The sequence below is a fragment of the Homo sapiens genome, chromosome 4 (genome assembly GCF_000001405.40).
Source record: "Homo sapiens chromosome 4, GRCh38.p14 Primary Assembly".
Lineage (NCBI taxonomy): Eukaryota > Metazoa > Chordata > Mammalia > Primates > Hominidae > Homo > Homo sapiens.
In genome coordinates, this window is record NC_000004.12 from 47902191 (window position 1) to 47925591 (window position 23401).

At 39.6% G+C, this 23401-nt stretch overlaps 1 protein-coding gene and 1 long non-coding RNA gene across 5 annotated transcripts in view, besides 4 other annotated features; one reads left to right on the plus strand and one right to left on the minus strand.

Moving 5' to 3' along the window:
* NFXL1 (nuclear transcription factor, X-box binding like 1) overlaps positions 1 to 12477 on the minus strand; it is a 67435-nt gene extending 54958 nt beyond the window's left edge. For 2 of the 4 annotated variants that reach the window (NR_103795.1, NM_001278623.1), the window contains exons 1-5: positions 12423 to 12477; positions 11779 to 12015; positions 8634 to 8804; positions 3047 to 3156; positions 1003 to 1133 (exon numbers count right to left, since the gene is read on the minus strand). Coding sequence is in view for 3 of the 4 variants with exons in the window: in NM_001278623.1 (NP_001265552.1) it covers positions 1003 to 1133; positions 3047 to 3156; positions 8634 to 8804; positions 11779 to 12013 (647 nt within the window). In the remaining variant the exon portion in view is untranslated. Of the gene's footprint in view, positions 1 to 1002; positions 1134 to 3046; positions 3157 to 8633; positions 8805 to 11778; positions 12016 to 12174; positions 12394 to 12422 lie in introns of those variants that run through there. The other 2 variants (NM_152995.6, NM_001278624.2) reach the window with 2 other exon arrangements.
* Positions 11261 to 11947: an enhancer, noted in NCBI's record as "H3K27ac hESC enhancer chr4:47915468-47916154 (GRCh37/hg19 assembly coordinates)". NCBI's record gives its function as "activates a minimal SCP1, AML or CMV promoter by ChIP-STARR-seq in primed H9 embryonic stem cells {active_cell/tissue: H9 hESC(primed)}" and the evidence as "EXISTENCE:reporter gene assay evidence [ECO:0000049][PMID:30033119]".
* Positions 11948 to 12633: an enhancer, noted in NCBI's record as "H3K27ac hESC enhancer chr4:47916155-47916840 (GRCh37/hg19 assembly coordinates)". NCBI's record gives its function as "activates a minimal SCP1, AML or CMV promoter by ChIP-STARR-seq in primed H9 embryonic stem cells {active_cell/tissue: H9 hESC(primed)}" and the evidence as "EXISTENCE:reporter gene assay evidence [ECO:0000049][PMID:30033119]".
* The window catches only part of LOC101927157 (uncharacterized), a 76511-nt gene continuing 65146 nt past the window's right edge, over positions 12037 to 23401 (plus strand). Inside the window, exon 1 of the long non-coding RNA NR_125879.1 lies at positions 12037 to 12514. This is a non-coding gene — a long non-coding RNA (uncharacterized LOC101927157). The remainder of the gene's footprint in view (positions 12515 to 23401) is intronic.
* Positions 12144 to 12373: an enhancer, noted in NCBI's record as "active region_21532". NCBI's record gives its function as "activates an Ori minimal core promoter by ATAC-STARR-seq in GM12878 lymphoblastoid cells {active_cell/tissue: GM12878}" and the evidence as "EXISTENCE:reporter gene assay evidence [ECO:0000049][PMID:35858748]".
* Positions 20542 to 21041: an enhancer, noted in NCBI's record as "NANOG-H3K4me1 hESC enhancer chr4:47924749-47925248 (GRCh37/hg19 assembly coordinates)". NCBI's record gives its function as "activates a minimal SCP1, AML or CMV promoter by ChIP-STARR-seq in naive H9 embryonic stem cells {active_cell/tissue: H9 hESC(naive)}" and the evidence as "EXISTENCE:reporter gene assay evidence [ECO:0000049][PMID:30033119]".

Below are 23401 nucleotides of genomic sequence, written 5' to 3' on the forward strand. Positions count from 1 at the left end.
TAAAATTAAAATAAAAAAAAAATTTAAACATAAAATTAGTTACTAAAGTTACAAAATGTGACCACACAGAGCCCATGAAGCTTATGCTTCATTACTTTGACAGTCAATCTACCTCTCTGGGCAGCCAATATGAATAAATTTCTTATTGTCTTTACTTAGCAGAGATATAAAATTCTACTCTCCAACTCTTTCTGGAAATATAACAAAAGTTCTCCAGATCAAATAATCATCAATAATAAGCAAAACTAATAAATGTAAAAAAATGATATTGTATAATATACACCTGCAGTTTTGAGATTTGGGAGGATAAAACTGGGAATCTTATAATCAAAATACATTAAATGATAGTCTTGTACAATGTAATAATAATGCATACTCATAGAATTCTGGACAAGAAGATCACAATTATGAATGATTCTCAGTCCTAAAGAAAATTGAAAGTCCTTTCAAAGGATAATTAAGGAATTGTTTTGCACAGGAAAAATTAAGTCTGGATGATTTATTAGTTATCAAAAGGAACTAGTAGTTATAGAAATTCAAATTGAAAAAAACAAGACTTTATCAAGATTCCACATCTTCACACACCAAATGACTAATTAAAAGCCCAACATGGATATTGAAACCACCAATAAAGCAACTTAGAATCTACAATCTTCATTTATTCTACAATTTAATAATCCAATTAGGCCAGGCGTGGTGGCGTGCCAGCCTAGTTGGCACTTTGGGATTTTTTGGGGTGGGTCACCTGAGGTCAGGAGTTCAAGACCAGCCTGGCAGACATGGTGAAACCCTGTGTCTACTAAAAATACAAAAAATTAGCCAGGCATAGTGACAGGTGCCTATAATCCCAGCTACTCAGGAGGCTGAGACAGGAGAATCTCTTGAACCCAGGAGGTGGAGGTTGCAGTGAGCCAAGATCGCCACTGCACTCCAGCCTGCGTGACAAGAGCAAAACTCCATCTGAAAATAATAATAATAATCCAACTAATTAGAAAAAGTTACCAAGGCCAGGGACAATCTTTCTTTCCAAAATCATCATCAGTCACAGAAGATACAAGAAACTGGCTGTCTTTAGCCCACTTCTGGATACAGGGCATGTGAAATATACAGAAACATCCCGAACAGCTCCAAACCTAAGACAAATGTATCAGAAGTTAATATATGTTAATTTTTCTTTGTTAATTGTAAAATAATTTAAAATGAGTATCACACTAAACTATTTTCAAGAGCTACCTAAGGATTAAAGAAAAAAGGTCTTTCCTTCCAGTATAACAGAAGAACTGTTTCATGGGAAATGCATTTAAATGTAGGATACTTCGAAGAAAATTATTATTAGTCAAACAGATTCATTCAGCTAGAAATAATTACTGCTAACATTCTGGACAATCTCCAAATTTATATATATATATTTTTTTCATACTTTTAAAAAATGAGGTCATACTATAATAACTGAAATGTAACTTTATAGTCTTTTCTATAAGCATATTTATAGCTATACATTACACCATGTAGACTTACGTACTTAAATTTCTTGTTGGATGATTATTTCCAAGTATAAATAACACTACAAAAGAATCTTTAAACATAAATATGTACATATATCTCTACACAGCCCTTTTGTTATATAAAACCTATTAGTCTAACACCTAACTAATGCTAAATTCTAAAAATTAGGTAATCAAAAAACAAGAATATACATAATTTAAAAGCTTAAGAAATAATACTAAATTAATTTTTAAAACCTGCCAAACACTTTGATAAAACTGATAAAAATCAGTTCCCCTTTCCTTATAACATTTTACAACTGTTTGATAAAATCAGACATGTAGCATATCGCATGAGCTAACAACAGCATTAAACAGCCGACTTCTTAGTTTGGGTTACCCCCAAAGCGGTATCTAAGAACTTGGATGCAGGAGTAAGGGGACTAGACAGGGAAAAAGAAATAACCAATGAATGGCATATGGTTGAGCTGATTACCACTAAGGGCCACAGAAGCTCAATCCTCCAGGGGACCCTCTGTAAAACCATGTAAAACACGCCTTGGACTGCCCAGCCCCACTCGCTAATGGAAAGGAGGTTGGGGCATTCACCTACCAACTCCCTGTGGTGCAATGTTGCTGCAAGGGGCTTTAACTCCCCAGTGCTTCTGCACTATACCCATGTACTAGCTAAGTCAATTTCCAAGAACAAAATTGAGAGGCGGAAAAAACGCACACACACAGCAAATGTTTAAAGTGGGTTTCTATCTGCATGCAGAGACTATGCATTCCCTGCAGCTGAAATCAGAGTAAACCAACTAGATGTGACTCTAGGCACAAAAGGCATCTGTATCTGCTATACTCTTCTACCCAACCAGAGCATGTTAAATTTCTGATTCACTCTACATGACCAAACTATTTCATCTGACTTGATTTGCTTTCTCTAGGCAATGCTGCTATAATAGCAGTGAATTAATCTAAGGTCTAAATGTTGAGTCTTTCACATTCAGTAATCACTTCTTAATTGCTTCATTAATGCCCTTTTAAATTTACACATATATATCTTTATCACTACGCCATATCTCCTCCAAGGACATGAGTTTTGTCTGAATCTCTCTCCCGACTGACCCTCACCACTTCCCAAAATGCCTTTAACACAGGATACGCTAACTAATTAAGCCATAAGTGTTACTGCCAAGTTCTACTTTCTTGAAGATAGGGACCGTATCTTTTTCCAAAAGTAATAAAATATAGTACATTTAACATTTCACTTTTGTGGGAATCTCTAAAGTACAGATGCTAAAAATGTTCTATCAAATCAACATTTGCATTAAAACTGAAGACAACTAAGTTATATCAATAGTGCTAAAAATACTGGATACTCATTTAGTGGTAATTTTTTTTTAATTACAGATTTTAAAATGAAGATCAATTCATATACAAAATTCTCAAATGAAGCATTTTTAAACATAAGTAAACAAAAGAATAATAAATCGTTAAGTATTGTAAGGCAAACTAAGGTATTTTGGGGAGATACATTAATATAAATAAGGAGAAAAACTTACTGCTTGGTTTCTCTTCACCGAAGCAATACAAATTAGGCATGTCATAGCCCCTGCTTGAAAAGCTTCATTTACATATTGTTTTGTTCGCTCTAATTCACGTGTATCTCCATCTGGAAATTTAAAGATTGAAAATCTCACCCTAAACAACATCTGAAAATAACACAAACTCACTAATAGCACCATATTATGTAAGAACTGTCTAGCAATATCAATTGCTCAAAATATAGCTGTAAAACAAGAAGTTTTTTTTAAAAAAGTAACCAATGAGCTGTCAAGAGGTAACGAAGTCTGTGTATTAAATCTTGTGTACTTTGTTCAAAATCAGTACCTCAGCTCTCTCTCTCAGTTATACTTGCTTTTTTGGCTGTTAGAATTCTCAACAAATTTGGCAGAAGCAGAGCCATAAGCAACAGCAGCAAGATGTAAAGTCTTAAGGAAAAGCAAAGTGTGAAAGGAAAAGCCTAAACTAATTAGTAGAGCCACTGAGCATAAATATAAGCATAGATGTGAGTGAGTGGGGGTGGGGGTGGGTGTGTGTGTATGAATTTAGCAGGTGTATTCTTAATAAAAAGTTGTTGAATGAAAAGACCCTGAGGTTTTTACAGTACAATAGCCACATCTCATGAAATCATGTTCACTATTTCTGCTTAAGAAGGTAGCATAAGCTTTTTAGAAAAAACAGTACCTGACATTATTTTCTTTCAGTAATTATTGAGTGCTTATTTGCTAGACACCGTACTATTAGTACTTCAATAGGATTAAATGAGCTATTATCTTCATTTTACAGATGAGAAAACTGAGGCACAAAAGAATTAACTTCAGTTTGCCTACAAAGTGAACCCTCTTAACCTCTATGCTGCACTGCAGTGAGCAGTTACTGCAGGAAGGTCCAACAAATAACAAGCAACAGCAAAATGAAAAACAGAATGAGTCCTCTAAAGCACAAATGACACCAAAAGGACAATAATCTGAGTCACTTTAGTATGAGAGAAATAAGCCTACATGCCTTTAAAACAATAAAGATTGTTCAATAGTGGTTAACTGAGTCTTCAAAAAAAGTAGATTAAAACGTAAACTACCATAAGTACAGAACTTACCATGGCAATAACGTGGTTCAAGCCAAAATTTAAGTTGCCAAAAAGAAAAATTAAATAAATAGGACATGTGGCTAATTCTTTACTTTCTAAAATCATCTGAGTAAACACGGCACTTACAAAAGCTTGCCCTACCATAAAATAAATATGATTTAGAACATTAAGCAAAATAAACGCAAACATACTCTCAAAACTATAAATTATTATAAAATTATTAAAGACAGTTGCTTTATTTTAAACAAACATTGAAGTTTTTAAAAAAATCCTTAAAAGCAGAATAGTATGGGGCGCCTATTTTGCTTTTCAACAAAGCTGGCATTAACAGATACAAAACATTTTAAATTTCATCTAATTTAACAGCTAACTCAAAAAACAGAATTTAAGAAGAAGATAGAACAGGCTTTTACAAAATAAAAACCAACCTTATATTTTAAAAATTTATGTAAGATTTCTTTGAAACATGTATTAAAGTTTGGCTGCATCAATAAAATGTACTGCCCAGCACATCACAGCGGATAGCATGCTATTTGAAGTCATGCATTTTAAAAAGATGACTCTGGCAACTAAAGAAAAATGAGTATGTGGAGGCCAAGACTGAAAGCTGGAAGTACCAGTTAAGAGACAGTTACAGCAGATTAAGCAAAAAATGACTTTGAGCAAGTTACCTAATGTGTCTCAGTTTTGTCATCTGTAAAACTAGTAGTAACAGTTATCTACCTCACAATTATCATATGGATTTAATCCACATGTTAAGCAGCTGTAAAGGCTTGAAGTAGGCAATGACAGTACACAGGCAGAGTAAGGGTAGATTTAAGAAATTTAGGAAGTAAAACTTAGGAGGACTTGGTGACAATGAGATTGTGTCTGTTTTAAAAGCTGATGTTCATGTCAAGATTCAGAAGGAAAGAGGGCTGTGTCTGCTGAGCTAACATGGGCAGAGGGAGAATTGCAGTAAATGACATGCATATGCCATCTCTGCTCCCAGATGTCTGGCTTGGGAGGGTGACTGAGAAAACTGTAGTGCTATTAAGATTAAGAAAACAAAAGAATAAATAAGTTCTCTTTCAACAGCAGTTTGATGGGTCCACGTGCCAGCAAGATAGAGATACTCATCAGGAAGTTGGCCATGCAAGTTTGAAATTTGAGAGAAGAATCACAAAAATGCAAAGGCTGTGCTCAAATAAAAATGAACTCCTTTGGTAAAGTCCTGGTCTTCAATTCACTAATGTTAAGGTGGGAACCATCCCATTACTCTGGAATGTATGTTCTTAAATCAAGTGATCAGATTTTCTTACATTGGTAGAGGCAAAGGAATGGGAATCATATACTAATGGATTTTATACAAAACACAGCATAAAAAAATTACCATAACACTTTTAAGATTAAAACCAGATTAAAAATTAATAAAACTTACAAATGACAAATGTTTTCTACATACTAGACTGAAAGACATTATTGCATTTTCTATTTTAAAATAAAATGACTCTATCTAGAATGGTTTAAGTGAGTTCCTCTCAAAGCAGAAAACTTCTTAAGATTATTTTCTATAAGGTCCTTCAGAAACAAGAAACCCTCTAACCTTAGAGTTACTTTTTATCAATTCTTACCTTGCCAACCTAGACTTCTCAGCCAAACTTCCTAATCTTAATTCCTTAGCAGATATGGTAAATTCCTTAGAAACCTACTTGATGATGTACAACTATCTTCATGATCCTATCAATATACTCAGGCAACTATCTAATCACCAAGGTTATGTGTTGGGAAGGGAAAGGTGAAATACATCGATCCTTCTGTCTGAAGACTTGATTAACTCTCAGCCAGGCACAGTGGCTCACGCCTGCCACTTTGGGAAGCTGAGGTGGGAGAATTCTCTGTAGCCAGGAATTCAAGACCAGCCTTGACAACACAGGAAAACACTGTCTCTACAAAAAAATTCTAAAAAAATTAACCAGGCATGGTGGTGTGTGCTTGCAGTACCAGCTACTTGGGAGGCTAAAGCAGGAGGGTCACTTGAGCTCAGTAGTTCAAGATTGTAGGGAGCTATGATCACATCACTGCACTCCAGCCTGGGCAATAGAAGAAGACTGTCTCCAAAAAAAAAAAAAGACTAACTCTCATGCTCTTTATTTGCGTTTATGCTAACTAATGCTCAAACTCTGCTATGCTTCTGATTCTGTCATACTAACTAACAGGCCTGAATCCTGGCATCACTGGCCTTATACTTCTCATGAAAGCACAAGATAATAACTAAGGAACACATTAGTATAGTGTAGATGGAGAGAGCTTAGGATGTGGGGCCTTATGATCAAGGGAAGACATGACTGAAAAAAGAAACAAATTTTTGGCCTGGCGCAATGGCTCACGCCTGTAATCCCAGCACTTTGGGAGGCCGAGGCGGGCGGATCACGAGGTCAGGAGATCAAGACCATCCTGGCTAACACAGTAAAACCCCGTCTCTACTAAAAACACAAAAAATTACCCGGGCATGGTGGCGGGCACCTGTAGTCCCAGCTACTCGGGAGGCTGAGGCAGGAGATTGGCATGAACCCGGGTGGTGGAGCTTGCAGTGAGCTGAGATTGCGCCACTGCACTCCAGCCTGGGCGACAGAGTGAGACTCCGTCGCAAAAAAAAAAAAAAAAAAGAAACAAATTTTTTAAAAGAAAGCAGCAGTTACGATAGAAAATCTCTAATAATCAAGCCACAAAATACATTAAACATTCCAGCAAACAGATATACAGCACAGACTACACAACAGGCACTACTGTAAGCACTACAGTACTTACACATACTGATTCATTTCATCCTAACAACTCTACAGTATTTAGTATCATTATACCCATTTTACAAAAGAAACTAAGCCCCTAAGATGCTAAGCAATATGTCAAACATCCTACAGCCAAGTAACAAAGCCAAGAATCAAACCGTAGCAATCTGATTCAAGTGTCAATGTTCTTAACTGCTGTACAATGCTGCTTTTTCCCCATAAACAGGTACAAAAGTAACCGTCTAGTCTCCTCAGAATTTTCCTGCTTTTACAGAGAAAATGAAATCAGCCCAGTAATGGCTCTAAAGCTAAGTCAACTAGGTTTAAACCCAGCTCTGCCAATTACTAATTGTCTAACTCTAGGAAAGTCACCTCTCCTCTGTAGAATTGTTTCCCAAAATATTTGTAAGGTTTTTCCTGGTTTTAACAGTATACTAAAGTAAGAAAAAGAACCAAGCAAGGGCATAAATATATATTACTAATAAAAGGTATATAAACAATATGACATATCTACAAATATATTAATAAATGTTGACATTACATGCAAAAATATTTCTTTCTTTCTTTTTTTTTTTTTAATTGAGACGGAGTCTTGCTCTGTCTCCCAGGCTGGAGTGCAGTGGCGCAATCTCAGCTCACGGCAACCTTCACCTCCCAAGTTCAAGCAATTCTCCTGCCTCAGCCTCCTGAGTAGCTGGGATTACAGGTGTGTGCCACCATGCCCAGCTAATTTTTTTGTATTTTTAGTAGAGACGGGGTTTCACCATGTTGGCCAGGCTGGTCTCAAACTCCTGACCTCAAGTGATCCCCCGGCCTCGGCCTCCCAAAGTGCTGGGGTTATAGGCGTGAGCCACTATGCCTGGCCTACATACAAGAATATTTCTAATAATAATTTTAAAGTATAAAAGGCAGAAAGTTTAATAATATTTACATTTAAAATAATCTATTTTTACACTTAATACTAAAGTGGTACACAGCAACATCACTTTGGCCCTCTCTCACATAAACAAACGTGGCTTTAAGAGCAATCAGATATAAACCACAGATAACACGAATGTACATGTCAAACCTGAGGAAATTTAGGTTTTTTAAAAAAAGTACGGCTAGGTGCAGTGCACATGCCTGTAGTCTCAGCTACTCAGGAAGCTGAGGCAGGAGGATCACTTAAGCCCAGGAGTTGAAGACTGCAGTGAACTACGCACCACTACGTACCACTGCGCTCCAGCCTGGGCAACAGAACAAGACCCCAACTCTAAAAATAAATACATGAAAATCAGATGTTGTAAATAAGATATAAAATAAGGAAATAAAGAATTAAAAAGACTTCAAGACGCATTTAACATGATGAAAAAAAATGAATAGATTGAAAGGAGTACACAAAGTACTCTAGTTCAATCAAATCATCACAACCAGAAAAAACTTGCCCCAGTCCACCGCTCAGGAGCTTTAGCAGCCCCATCCAAGCATTCTACTGAAATGCCAATTAAATACACACAAAGGCCTCCTAAGGCTATAAAAGAGCCACTGCCATTCTATTTGCTTTATAGAAAAATTAGTGTTACACAATATATAACTCAAATACCAAAGTGTACAAAAATTCAACTCTATAACATACAGTGCTCATCTTAAGATATAAAATCTATTCCATATAGAACAAAGGCATTACCAAAAAAATGTCAGGAATACAGTTTCATTGACGTCAAAAGTCAAAATTTAAAAGATCAGTACCTGTCTGAGTAGTGTATGTTATAAACGTATTTGCAAGTATTTTTCCCTGTTTTCCTTCAAAATCTTCATCTCCTTCTTCAGATGAAGAGCTAAACTGTTCTTCAACAAGTTTTCTGGCTGCAGCTTGGTTAGCTTTCTTGATTTCTTCAAATTTTTTCTGAGACATTAGCTCTGTTTAAAAGAAAAAAGTTTCATTTCTGCAAAACAATCTCTCAAAAAGAAAAGCATAATGTGCTAATATATCATTTTACAACACACATTTGAAAGTCACCTTTGGAGCATTCTACCTTCCTGTAATCCACGAGAAAAGTATTTTCAAATTCCTTGACACACAACTAAAGAGAATACCACAACAAAAACTTTCACTTTTCTAAGTATCCTGCTAAAATGCAGCAAATTTTTATGATAACGGTGATTAACAAATCAAGAAAAAAAATATGAAAATACAATAAAACTATCAAAATACTGGTGATCAACTTCAAAATAAGGACTAACAAAAATTAAGATGTTTTAAAGTACATTGTGCACAGTAATTTTTAAGAAGTGAGGGAACATGTCCACAGTGAGCACATAAAGAATCAGGGAAGGTAGGTATTTCAAACTACCGTCTTCTGAACAACAGGTAGGATAGGACACGACGGCCCAGCCCAGTCCAGTCCAGCCCTACCAAAGAGTTTGTACCAACAGTACTCACTATGCACCCACTATATTTACAATCGGCTTCTTAGGTCAAGAACTTTTTGCCTTTATTATGGACTTCTTGTGGTCACACAAAAAAACATATTTTACATTAATCCACACAAAGTATTAACATGGAAAACATGTTTCTTCCAACTTCATTCCAAAAAGAATGTTAATTTTGGATTCGTTCTTCCACTATTCAGCACTACCTGTACTTCTCATTTTGTTACTTGATTAATCATGCAAAACAAAACCAGATTACTTCACTGCACATACTCCCAAAGAAACTTCAAACTTCTTGAGAGCAAGGACCACAGGGATTTTCTTCAAGCACTAAGTGTTAATAAGCTCTTACGGACAGCAAACATAGTTTAAGAAAGGAGCCACAAACCTGCAGAACTGATCTGAGTTCATGAATTCCCATCTTGAGAGGATTTTAAATTTACTGATTGACTATTTTAAAATTAACATTATACTTAAAACTGATAAGCCACTACCAAGATAAGCTCTCTTATCTTGGGTGGTATATTCGTACTTGATTATGTTCCCTCATGAAACATTTTCCTTTTCTTATTGCAGCCAGTTTGGTTAGGGGTTATTAACAAAACAAATTGAGTATTTCAAGTAAACCTCGACGAAAATGTGTATCATGCTTACCTAGCAAGCTTTGAGTACTGGGAAAAAAGAACTGGCTATGAGATATATAACTCAAAACTTGTCACAAAAGAGATGATAAATGTCATTAATATACGGGAAATTAGCACTTAAAAGATACATAAGAAAACAGGCTGAACTGGACAGAGATAATGAGAACATTCATAACCTGATAAATGTATTCACCTAACATCATCTCAAAGTAAAGAGAAGCTGACAAGACAACCTTCTCACGTATTATTTCTTACAGCCAAATCTCAACTGTCCAGGTAGAGAATGCTTGTTTTCTTTTTCTTTTCTTTCTTTTTTTTTTTTTTTTGAGACGGAGTCTTGCTCTGTCGCCCAGGCTGGAGTGCAGTGGGGCAATCTCGGCTACTGCAAGCTCCGCCTCCCGGGCTCACGCCATTCTCCTTCCTCAGCCTCCCGAGTAGCTGGGACTACAGGCGCCTGCCACCCCGCCCGGCTAATTTTTTGTATTTTTAGTAGAGACGGGGTTTCACCCTGTTAGCCAGGATGGTCTCCATCTCCTGACCTCATGATCTGCCCGCCTCGGCCTCCCAAAGTGCTGGGATTACAGGCTTGAGCCACCGCGCCCGGACAGAATGCTTGTTTTCCTTCTACCCACGAGATGGAGACCATCCTGGCTAACACGGTGAAACCCCGTCTCTACTAAAAAAAAAAAACCAAAGAACAAAAAACAAAACATTAGCCAGGCGTGGTGGCAGGCGCCTGTAGTCCCAGCTACTCGGGAGGCTGAGGCCGGAGAACGGCCTGAACCCAGGAGGCAGAGCTTGCAGTGAGCCGAGATTGCGCCACTGCACTCCAGCCTGGGCGACCAGCGAGACTCTGTCTCAAAAAAAAAAAAAAAAAAAAAAAGTTTACCAAACCTGTTCACACGTCTCCATATTGTATACCTTATCATCACGGCCATTAACTGCATGCTAAGAGAATACCACCTACCTTTCAAATTAGCCTAGGAGAAAAATCATTCAAGATACTCAATTCTGCTCCACACCCCCCAAAAAAATGTATCCTGAAATGCATTCCAAACACAAAAATAAAATGATTTCAGGGATTATTCCCTCGGCCCCATGCACAATTGTGTGTAAGTCCTCCCTGGCTCCACGAAAACATGGTCTTGGATGAAAAGTATTGATATATCGGAGGCAACACCAGATATGTCCACAGAAGGACATGGAATTTGTAAATAGGAACTACAGTCAAGGAAGGTATCAAAAGCTCAAGTGCTTACAAGGAATAAGACAAGTCAAGAAACAAAGGCAAAGGTAAAGATGACAAATGACACCTGGCTCCAGAAATGAGAGAGAATGTGAGATGGAATGCCCAAGTCCAATCTAAATGGGATTTCTGTGACTCAGCCGAGCTGACTGTTGCCATGCACAAAGATAACTAAAGCCACAAGGTTGTTAACCAGATTTTTAAAAACGACAAACAACCGCTGACAATCAATCCACATTTAAAACTCTGTGTTAACCAAACAACATTATAGACCAAATCAGAACACCGGGCCACAATTTACAACTGATGGTCTGGAGATTCAAGTAGGCAAGAGTGGAGGGAAGTAACAAAGGTAATACCACCTAAAATTAAGATGAAAGAGGTGCGATGGAAATCTACCTAGAGTGCCGAAAAGAGCAGCCACCCGAAAGGCTGGAGAAGTGGGCCCGATAACAAACTCCCGAACGAGGGGAAAAGCAGTGAAAGAAAGAAGGCGAGGGCGGAGGCGGTCCTGACTAGTAACTGCCTTAGGAGGCATCCAGGTGAGCACGCGGGCGGGAGCCATTCTCACCGCTGGCTGCGGTAGTCTGCAGGGCTTGGGATCCTGCGGGGCTGTGCCTGCTCCCTGCAGCCGCCGTGGTCGCGACTCCTCCGGGACTGGTGCCAGAAGGAACTGCGCCCACCGACCCCTTCTCTCGCCCTCCTCCGGCGCCGCGGAGATGGACTCCATTTCCTGAGGGGGCGGCAGTGGCCCGTCCCCGGGATCGGCCTCGGCCACCGGCCACCTGGCGCCAGGAAGCTTCCATCCCTGCAAAGGAGAAAAAAAAAAAAAAGAGTGGAAGGAGGTGAGCGCAGCGAGGACCGAGGCGAAGGAGGGTCAGTGCGGAAACCCGGTGTGAGGGGCCGAGTGAGGAAGGTTCCTGCAGGGCGGCGACCGGGTTTTAGGAGGTCGCGGCCCTGCCTTTACCGGAGGGCGAGTCCCCGCCAAGCCCGGGCTTTGGAGATGGACCGAAGAGGGGAGGGAGGACTAGGTACAGAAATAAACCGCGGAGCAAGAAGCACACAGTGCCGAAGACAGAAAGCCGGAGGAGAAGTCGAAACCGCCTCCTCAGCCTCTGCGGGAGCGTGGTAGGGGAAGAGTCACAGACTGACCCTGCGTCTCCCGCCGGGAACCAACTGCAGTGGTACACCCCACGGAAAGCTACGTCTCCTTACCGACTGCGCACGCCCCCAACAGACTACAACTCCCAGAAGCCCCCGCCCGCGTTCCGGCGACTGCGTGGCAGCACGGGCCGCTTCCTTATCCGGTAAAGTGCGGGGGTTGGGTGGGAGGGAAACCCCAAGCGCCTGCGCTGGCCCGAACAGGCCTTTGGGAACTACAACTCCCGGCGTGCTCTGGGGCTAGGGAGGGGTCGAAGGTCATAGGGGCGCGTGGTGGTGGAGGCGGGCGGGTCCGGAGGGTTTCGTGACCCCACAATTTGCTTCTGCTTCTGCAAGACTGCCCTAAACTCACCTGGGTATGAGGATTACATGGCTCTGTCCCTAATTGGCTCTCTGCCATCTTTTATTAGCCTTGCCTTTGAGCTTGCGGATGACAGGAGGTGTCAATGTAAAATAATCAAAAGCGCGAAGTTTGAGGATAGCCTACCTAGAAACACCGACTCCAAGGAAGGAGTCAGCGTTCCGAAGTAGAGATTTAAGATTTCACTTATATAGGCAGAAACTGAGAGGTTTTTTAGCAGGATTACAGCATTTTCTCATACAAGGTTAGAGAATAGTTACAACAATTTGATTATAGACAGTGTTTCTTTTTGGGAAGTGTACATTTAACATTTTTCATAAAGGATTTTCTGTCATCTGGTCTAAGCAAACCGGGGCAACAAAGCAGAAGTTAATCTATAAGGATCATTAAGAAGGCAGGAAGTTTTTGTCCTTAACTTCGTTTAATTCTCTCTAGCCATTGTATAGAACAAGAAAAATAAGAAAGCAAGTTAATCTATAATCTGAGAAACAGAAGTTGTAACCACGTGTAACTCAGATGACAGTCACATCTCTCTCCAGGCTTAGTGAGTTTTAGGCTCCAACAACCTTTAAACTATTTATTTTCATAGGGAAGTCTCACTAACAGGAAAGGCACTTACATTGAAAACGCTTTGAGGTTGGCCACTGTGAAGGAGGGAAATTCGGGGGAGAGTTGCAGGAAAGTGGCTTGAGTAGTAAAAGTACCCTTCTAAAATGCTAGAGCCAATGTAGAAAATAAATCTAAAGCCTGTTATTGTCATAGTCCTTTGTAGTGTGCAATGAGCTTTCCCTGGGACATGCTAATTTTTACCTTCACAGCATCTCCCTAAAGTAGATTTTGTTAAGGAAAATAGTTGAGGGCCAGGACCTAAATCTTATGATTTTGCTGAGTTTTCCAATAAGATACATGTGCATATATACTGACAGGTAGATTGCAAAAATTCATTCTGGGGTCTGTCTGGGATTGAGAAACATATTGATGGCTTATTGTACAGTCCTTCAACTTAGTTAATTCTTCTATTTTAACCATAAATTTCTATTATAATATTTAGATAGCATTTATTAGATGTCAGGCACTGTTTAAAGTGTTTTACGTTATGTATTAACTAATTTGGTACTCACAGTAACCGTGTTTATTATCCCCGTTTTACAACTGAGAACACTGAGGCACAGAGAGATTAAGCAATTTGCCCTTGATCATACAGCTAGGAAGTAGTGAAGCCAAGATTCAATCCTAAGTAGTCTAGTATTAGAAACCATGCTTTTAATGTCTTAAACATAGATATTGCAGAATTGCCTGTACATTAACCAAACTCAAAAATGACATCCCATGGCCAGGCATGGTGGCTCACGCCTGTAATCCTAGTACTTTGGGATGCCAAGGCGGGTGGATCACCTTAGGTCAGGAGTTTGAGGCAAGCCTGGCCAACATGGCGAAACCCTGTCTCTATTAAACATACAAAAATTAGCTGGGCATGGTGGTGGGTGCCTATAATCACAGCTACTAGGGAGGCTGAGGCAGGAGAATTGTTTGAACCCAGGGGGCGGAGGTTGTAATGAGCCAAGATCGCGCCACTTCACTCCAGCCTGGGCAAAAGAGCAAAACTCCGTCTCAGAAAAATGAAAAGAAGAAAAGAAATAACATCTCTGAGAATGATATAACTTCATTGGCTAGAAACTAACAGGTGCACAGCAACTCTCTTAATGCTGCACTTGTATAAGAACTGTAAGTTTAAAGCTGCAACCAGCTTTCAAAGTTTGAAAACCCTAAAGTGAGACTTTTCTTCAGTGGGGTTTTCACATACAGGAAAGGAGCTGTTATACTCTGAGAGAGAATATAGTAATTATCACTGAGTAATGTCCAAGAAGTATTGAGTGGCTACTAAAAAGAGAGATCCTTCTTAGAATTATGTTATATGCCAGAGAGCTGGACTAGCATATTATCTAAATTTCCATGTCAAACTTTATTGAGAAATTTTTTCTGTTCCCTCAAATATTCAATAGCTAATAACAGTGACCAGCAATCCTTGAGTGCTTTCTATGTGCCAGCATTCTTCTAGGTCCTTTTTTCTTTTACTCATCTAATCTTCACAATAACCATGAAGTAGGTATTGTTATCGTCAAAACAATTTTTTTTTATTATACTTTAAGTTCTAGGGTACGTGTGCACAATGTGCAAGTTTCTTACATAGGTATACATGTGCAATGTTGGTTGGCTGCACACATCAACTTGTCATTTACATTAGGTATTTCTCCTAAAGCTATCCCTCCACCAGCCCCCCACCCTGCAACAGGCCCTTGTGTGCGATGTTCCCCTCCATGTGTCCATGTGTTCTCAGTGTTCAACTCCCACTTATGAGTGAGAACATGTGGTGTTTGGTCTTCTGTCCTTGTGATATTTTGCTGAGAATGATGGTTTCCAGCTTCATCCATGTCCCTGCAAAGGACATGAACTCATCCTTTTTTATGGCTGCATAGTATTCCATGGTGTATATATGGCACATTTTCTTTATCCAGTCTATTATTGATGGACATTTGGGTTGGTTCTAAGTCTTTGCTATTGTGAATAGTGCCTCAGTAAACATGCCTGTGCATGTATCTTTATAGTAGCATGATTTATAATCCTTTGGGTATATACCCAGTAATGGGATTGCTGGGTCAAATGGTATTTCTAGTTCTAGATCCTTGAGGAATCGCCACACTGTCTTCCACAATGGTTGAAATCATTTACACTCCCAAGAACAGTGTGAAAGCATTCCTATTTCTCCACATCTTCTCCAGCATCTGTTGTTTCCTGACTTTTTAATGATTGCCATTCTAACTGGCGTGAGATGGTATCTCATTGTGGTTTTGATTTGCATTTCTCTGATAACCAGTGATGATGAGCATTTTTTCATATGTCTGCTGGCTGCATAAATGTCTTCTTTTGAGAAGCGTCTATCCATATATTTTGCCCACTTTTTGATGGGGTTGTTTTTTCTTGTACTTTTGTTTAAGTTCTTTGTAGATTCTGGATATTAGCCCTTTGTCAGATGGATAGATTGCAAAAATTTTCACCCATTCTGTAGGTTGCCTGTTCACTCTGATGATAGTTTATTTTGCTGTGCAGAAGCTCTTTAGTTTAATTAGATCCCATGTGTCTATTTTGGCCTTTGTTGCCATTGCTTTTGGTGTTTTAGTTATGAAGTCTTTGCCCGTGCCTGTGTCCTGAATTGCATTGTCTAGGTATTCTTTTAGGGTTTTTATGGTTTTAGGTCTTACATTTAAGTCTTTAATCCATCTTGAGTTAATCTTTGTGTAAGGTGTAAGGAAGGAATCCAGTTTCAATTTTCTATATATGGCTAGCCAGTTTTCCCAGCACCATTTATTAAATAGGGAATCCTTTCCCCATTTCTTGTTTTTGTCAGGTTTGTCAAAGATCAGATGGTTGTAGATGTGTGGTGTTGTTTCTGAGGCCTCTGTTCTGTTCTATTGGTCTATCTCTCTGTTTTGGTACCAATGCCATGCTGTTTTGATTACTGTAGCCTTGTAGTATAGTTTGAAGTCTGGTAGCCTGATGCCTCCAGCTTTGTTCTTTTTGCTTAGGATTGTCTTGGCTATGTGGGCTCTTTTTTGGTTCCATATGAACTTTAAAGTAGTTTTTTCCAATTCTGTGAGGAAAGTCAGTGGTAGCTTGATGGGGATAGCATTGAATCTATAAATTACCTTAGGCTGTATGGCCATTTTCACGATATTGAGTCTTCCTATCCATGAGCATAGAAGGTTCTTCCATTTGTTTGCGTCCTCTTTTATTTCGCTGAGCAGTGGTTTGTAGTTGTCCTTGAAGAGGTCCTTCACATCCCTTGTAAGTTGTATTCCTAGGTATTTTATTCTCTTTGTAGTAATTGTGAATGAGAATTCACTCATGATTTGGCTCTCTGTTTGTCTGTTCTTGGTGTATAGGAATGCTTTTGATTTTTGGACATTGACTTTGTATCCTGAAGTTGCTTATCAGCTTAAGGAAATTTTGGGCTGAGACAATGGGGTTTCGTAAATATACAATCATGCCATCTGCAAACAGAGACAATTTGACTTCCTCTTTTCCTAATTGAATACCCACCTTTATTTCTTTCTCTTGCCTGATTGCCCTAGCCAGAACTTCCAATACTATATTGAACAGGAGTGGTGAGAGAGGGCATCCTTTTCTTGTGCCAGTTTTCAAAGGGAATGCTTCCAGTTTTTGCCATTCAGTATGATATAGGCTGTGGGTTTGTCGTAAATAGCTCTTATTATTTTGATACGCGTTCCATCAATAACTAATTCATTGAAAGCTTTTAGAATGAAAGACTGTAGAATTTTGTTGAAGGCCTTTTCTGCATCTATTGAGTTAATCATGTGGTTTTTGTCGTTGGTTCTATTTATGTGATGAAATATGTTTATTGATTTGCGTATGTTGAACCAGTCTTGCATTCCAGGGATGAAGCCAACTTGATGGTGGTGGATAAGCTTTTTGATGTGCTGCTGGACTCGGTTTGCCAGTATTTTATTGAGGATTTTCACATGGATGTTCATCAGGGATATTGGCCTAAAATTCTCTTTTTTTGTTGTTGTGTTTTTGCCAGGCTTTGGTATCAGGATGATGCTGGCCTGATAAAATGAGTTAGGGAGGATTCCCTCTTTTTCTATTGATTGAAATAGTTTCAGAAGGAATGGTACCAGCAACTTTTTGTACCTTGGTAGAATTCAGCTGTGAATTCATCTGATCCTGGACATTTTTTGGTTGGTAGGCTATTAATTATTGCCTCAATTTCAGAACCTGTTATTGGTCTATTCCGAGATTCAACTTCCTCCTGGTTCAGTTTTGAGGGTGTATGTGTCCAGGAATTTATCCATTTCTTCTAGATTTTCTCGTTTATTTGCATAGAGGTGTTTATAGTATTCTCTGATGGTAGTTTGTATTTCTGTGGGATTAGTGGTGATATCCCCTTTATCATTTTTTATTGTGTCTACTTGATTCTTCTCTTTTTCTTCTTTATTAGTCTTGCTAGCAGTCTGTCTATTTTGTTGAACTTTTCAAAAAACCAGCTCCTGGATTCATTGATTTTTTGAAGGGTTTTTTGTGTCTCTATCTCCTTCAGTTCTGCTCTGATCTTAGTTATTTCTTGTCTTCTGCTAGCTTTTGAATGTGTTTGCTCTTGCTTCTCTAGTTCTTTTAATTGTGATGTTAGGGTGTCGATTTTAGATCTTTCCTGCTTTCTCTTGTGGGCATTTACTCCTATAAATTTCCCTCTACACACTGCTTTAAATGTGTCCCAGAGATTCTGGTATGTTGTGTCTTTGTTCTCATTGGTTTCAAAGAACATCTTTATTTCTGTCTTCATTTCGTTATTTACCCAGTAGTCATTCAGGAGCAGGTTGTTCAGTTTTCATGTAGTTGTGTGGTTTTGAGTGAATTTCTTAATCCTGAGTTCTAATTTGATTGCACTGTGGTCTGAGAGACAGTTTGTTGTGATTTCTGTTCTTTACAATTGCTGAGGGTGTTTTACTTCCAATTATGTGGTCAATTTTAGAATAAGTGTGAGGTGGTGCTGAGACGAATGTATATTCTGTTGATTTGGGGTGGAGAGTTCTGTAGATGTCTATTAGGTCCACTTGGTCCAGAGCTGAGTTCAAGTCCTGGATATCCTTGTTAATTTTCTGTCTTGTTGATCTGTCTAATATTGACAGTGGAGTGTTAAAGTCTCCCATTATTATTGTGTGGGAGTCTAAGTCTGTTTGTAGGTCTCTAAGAACTTGCTTTATGAATCTGGGTGCTCCTGTATTGGGTGCATATATATTTAGGATAGTTAGTTCTTCTTGTTGAATTGATCCCTTTACCATTATGTAGTGGCGTTCTTTGTCTCTTTTGATCTTTGTTGGTTTAAAGTCTGTTTTATCAGAGACCAGGATTGCAACCTTTGCTTTTTTTTTGCTTTCCATTTGCTTGTTAGATCTTCCTCCATCCCTTTATTTTGAGCCTATGTGTGTTTTTGTGCATGAGATGGGTCTCCTGAATACCGCACCCCGATGGGTCTTGACTCTTTATCCAACTTGCCAGTCTGTGTCTTTTAATTGGGTCATTTAGTCCATTTACATTTAAGGTTAATATTGTTATGTGTGAATTTGATCCTGTCGTTATGATGTTAGCTGGTTATTTTGCCCATTAATTGATGCAGTTTCTTCATAGCATTGATGGTCTTTACAATTTGGCATGTTTTTGCAGTGGCTGGTACTGGTTGTTCCTTTCCACGTTTAGTGCTTCCTTCAGGAGCTGTTGTAAGGCAGGCCTGGTGGTGACAAAATCTCTCAGCATTTGCTTGTCTCTAAAGGATTTTATTTCTCCTTCACTTATGAAGCTTAGTTTGGCTGGATATGAAATTCTGCATTGAAAATTCTTTTGTTTAAGAATGTTGAATATTGGCCCCCACTCTCTTCTGGCTTGTAGGGTTTCTGCCAAGAGATCCACTGTTAGTCTGATGGGCTTCCCTTTGTGGGTAATCCGACCTTTCTCTCTGGCTGCCCTTAACATTTTTTCCTTCATTTCAACCTCAGTGCATCTGACAATTATGTGTCTTGGGGTTGCTCTTCTCGAGGAGTATCTTTGTAGTGTTCTCTGTATTTCCTGAATTTGAATGTTGGCCTGCCTTGCTAGGTTGGGGAAGTTCTCCTGGATAATATCCTGAAGAATGTTTTCTAACTTCTTTCCATTTTCCCCATCACCTTCAGGTATGCCAATTAAATGTAGATTTGGTCTTTTCAGATAGTCCCATATTTCTGGGAGGCTTTGTTTCTTTTCACTCTTTTTTCTCTAATCTTGTCTTCTCACTTTATTTCATTAATTTGGTCTTCAATCACTGATATCCTTTCTTCCGCTTGATCGAATTGACTCATGAAGCTTGTGTATGCTTCACGCAGTTCTCGTACTGTGGCTTTCAGCTCCATCAGGTCATTTAAGCTTTTCTCTACACTGGTTATGCTAGTTAGCCATTCCTCTAATCTTTTTTCAAGGTTTTTAGCTTCCTTGCGATGGGTTAGAACATGCTCCTTTAGCGCGGAGAAGTTTGTTATTACTGATCTTCTGAAGCCTACTTCTGTCAACTCGTCAAACTCATTCTCCATCCAGTTTTGTTTCCTTGCTGGCGAGGAGTTGTGTTCCTTTGGAGGAGAAGAGGCATTCTGGTTTTTGGAATTTTCAGCCTTTCTGCTCTGGTTTCTCCCCATCTTTGTGGTCTAATCTACCTTTGGTCTTCGATGTTGGTGACCTACGGATGGGGTTTTGGTGTGGATGTCCTTTTTGTTGATGTTGATGCTATTCCTTTCTGTTTGTTAGTTTTCCTTCTAACAGACAGGACCCTCAGCTACAGGTCTATTGGAGTTTGCTGGAAGTCCACTCCAGACCCTGTTTGCCTGGGTTTCACCAGCGGAGGCTGCAGAACAGCCAATATTGCTCCCTGATCCTTCCTTTGGAAGCTTCATCCCAGAGGGGCACCTGCCTGAATGAGGTGTCTGTGGCCCCTACTGGGAGGTGTCTCTCAGTCAGGCTACATGGGGTCAGGGACCCACTTTAGGAGGCACTCTGTCCATTATCGGATCTCGAACGCCATGCTGGGAGAGCGACTGCTCTCTTCAGAGCTATCAGGCAGTCACGTTTAAGTCTGCAGGAGCTATCTGCTGCCTTTTGTTCAGATATGCCCTGCCCCCAGAGGTGGAATCTCGGTAGGCAGTAGGCCTTGCTGTGCTGCGGTGGGCTCCACCCAGTTCGAGCTTCCCTGCCACTTTGTTTACACTGTGAGCATAGAACTGCCTACTCAAGCCTCAGCAATGGTGGATGCCCCTTCCCCCACCAAGCTCCAGCATCCCAGGTTGATCTCAGACTGCTGCACTAGTAGCGAGTGAGGCTCCGTGGGCATGGGACCCTTTGAGCCAGGCACAGGAGGGAATCTCCTGGTCTGCCGGTTGCGAAGACTGTGGGAAAAGCACAATATTTGGGCAGCAGTGTACCATTCCTCCAGGTACAGTCACTCACGGCTTCCCTTGGCTAGGAAAGGGAAATCCCCCGACCCCTTGTGCTTCCCAGGTGAGATGATGCCCCGCCCTGCTTCAGCTGTACCCACTTTCCAACCAGTCCCAACGAGATGAACCAGGTACCTCACTTGGAAATGCAGAAATCACCTGCAGAAATCACATATCTGCAGAAATGCAGAAGTCACATATCTGCAGAAATGCAGAAGTCACATATCTGCAGAAATGCAGAAGTCACATATCTGCAGAAATGCAGAAGTCACATATCTGCAGAAATGCAGAAGTCACGTTTCTGCAGAAATGCAGAAGTCACATATCTGCAGAAATGCAGAAGTCACGTTTCTGCAGAAATGCAGAAGTCACGTTTCTGCAGAAATGCAGAAGTCACGTTTCTGCAGAAATGCAGAAGTCACGTTTCTGCAGAAATGCAGAAGTCACGTTTCTGCAGAAATGCAGAAGTCACGTATCTGCAGAAATGCAGAAGTCACGTTTCTGCAGAAATGCAGAAATCACCTGTCTTCTGTGTTGATCTCGCTGGGAGCTGTAGACCAGAGCTGTTCCTATTCAGCAACTCCCCCATCAAAACAATTTCTTATTCAACATACTAGCAGAGCTAGGATTGCAAATGGGTAGTGTGACTCCTGGCCTATACTCTTAACCACCAGGCAAATGATGACTGTGTATATGCATTTAATGTTTACCTAGAAATTCCAGTTATTTTTAAAGTACCTAAACAGGGAAAGGGCTCATATAATCAGGATTTTTCCCCTGCCATATTATACAATTAAAAGTGATAAACACAATAATCACTTTGGAATCAGAAATAATCTTTTGTGCTCGCTGAGTGAGAAAACAAACATTTGTTGTATTATCATTGTAAATTTTTGCAGTGGAGAGCTAGTATAGATCATAAAGTGGAAGCATATGTAAGTTGAGAACACATTTTCAAAAATTACCATTGCTTCTACAAGGAGAGCTACGAAACATTGCTGAAAGCCATCATAGACAACATAAACAAATGGAAACACATTCCATGTTCATAGATTGGAATAATCAACATTGTGAAAAGGAACATACTGCCCAAAGCAATCTACAGATTCAATGCAATTCCCATCAAACTACCAGCATCACTTTTTCTCAGAAGTAGAAAAAACAATCCTAAAATTCATGTGGAACCAAAAAGAGCCTGAACAGCCAAAGCAATCCTAAGCAAAAAGAACAAATCTGGAGACATCCTATTACTGGACTTCAAAGTATGCTACAAGGCTATAGATATCAAAACAACATGGTACTGGGAAAAAAAAAAGTAGATGCATAGACCAATGGAACAGAATAGAGAATTCAGATATAAAGCCAAATACATACAGCCAACTGATCTACAACAAAGCATACAAAAACATAAATTGGGGAATGGACACCCTATTTAATAAATGATGCTGAGAAAACTGGAAAGCCACATGTAGAAGAATGAAACTGGATCCCTATCTCTCATCCTATCCAAAAATCAACTCGAGATGGACCGAGGACTAAAATATAAGACCTGAAACTAAAAATTCTAGAAGACGATGTTGGAAAAACTCTTCTAGACATTGCCCTAGGGAAATAATTCATGACTAAGACCCCAAAAGCAAATGCAACAAAAACAAAGATAAGTAAATGGAACCTAATTTAAAAGTTACTGCACAGCAAAAGAAATAATCAGCAAAGTAAACAGACAACCCACAGAAGGGGAGAAAATATTTGCAAGATGCATCCAACAAAGGACTAGTTTCCAGAATCTACAAGGAACTCAAACAAATCAGCAAGAAAAAGAAAACAAATAATCCCATTAAAAAGCTGGCAAAGACCGGGCCTGGTGGCTCACATCTGTAATCCCAGCACTTTGGGAGGCTGAGGTGGGCGAATCGCTTGAGCTCAGGAGTTCGAGACCAGCCTGGACAACATAGTAAGACCCCCCATCTCCACTAAAAATACAAAAATTAGCCAGGCATAGTGGTGCACACCTGTAGTCTCAGCTACAACTGAGAGACTGAGGCTTAAGCATCACTTGAAACCAGGAGGCAGAGGTTGCAGTGAGCCGAGATTGCGCCACTGCACTGCAGCCTGGGCAACAAAGTGAGGCTCCCTCTGAAAAAAAAAACAAAACAAGTGGACAAAATGGGCAAAGGACATGAATAGACATTTCTCAAAAGATGATCTACAATGGCCAAAAAACATGAGAAAGTGCTCAACATCACTCATGATGGAAAAGCAAATTAAAACTGCAATGAGATACCACCCTACTCCTGCAAGAATGGCCATTATTAAAACATCAAAAAACAATAGATGTTTATGTGGATGTGGGGAAAGGGAATGCTTACACACTGCTGGTAGGAATTTAAATTAGTACAACCTTTATGGGAAACAGTATGGAGGAGATTCCTTAAAGAGCTAAAAGTAGATCTACCATTTGATCAAGCAATCCCACTACTAGATATCTACCCAAAGGAAAAGACGTCATCATATGAAAAAGACCCTTGTACACGTATGTTGACAGCAGCACAATACACAATTGCAAAGATGTGGAACCAACGTAAGTGCCCATCAACTAACGAGTGGACAAAGAAAATGTGGTGTATATACACCATGGAATA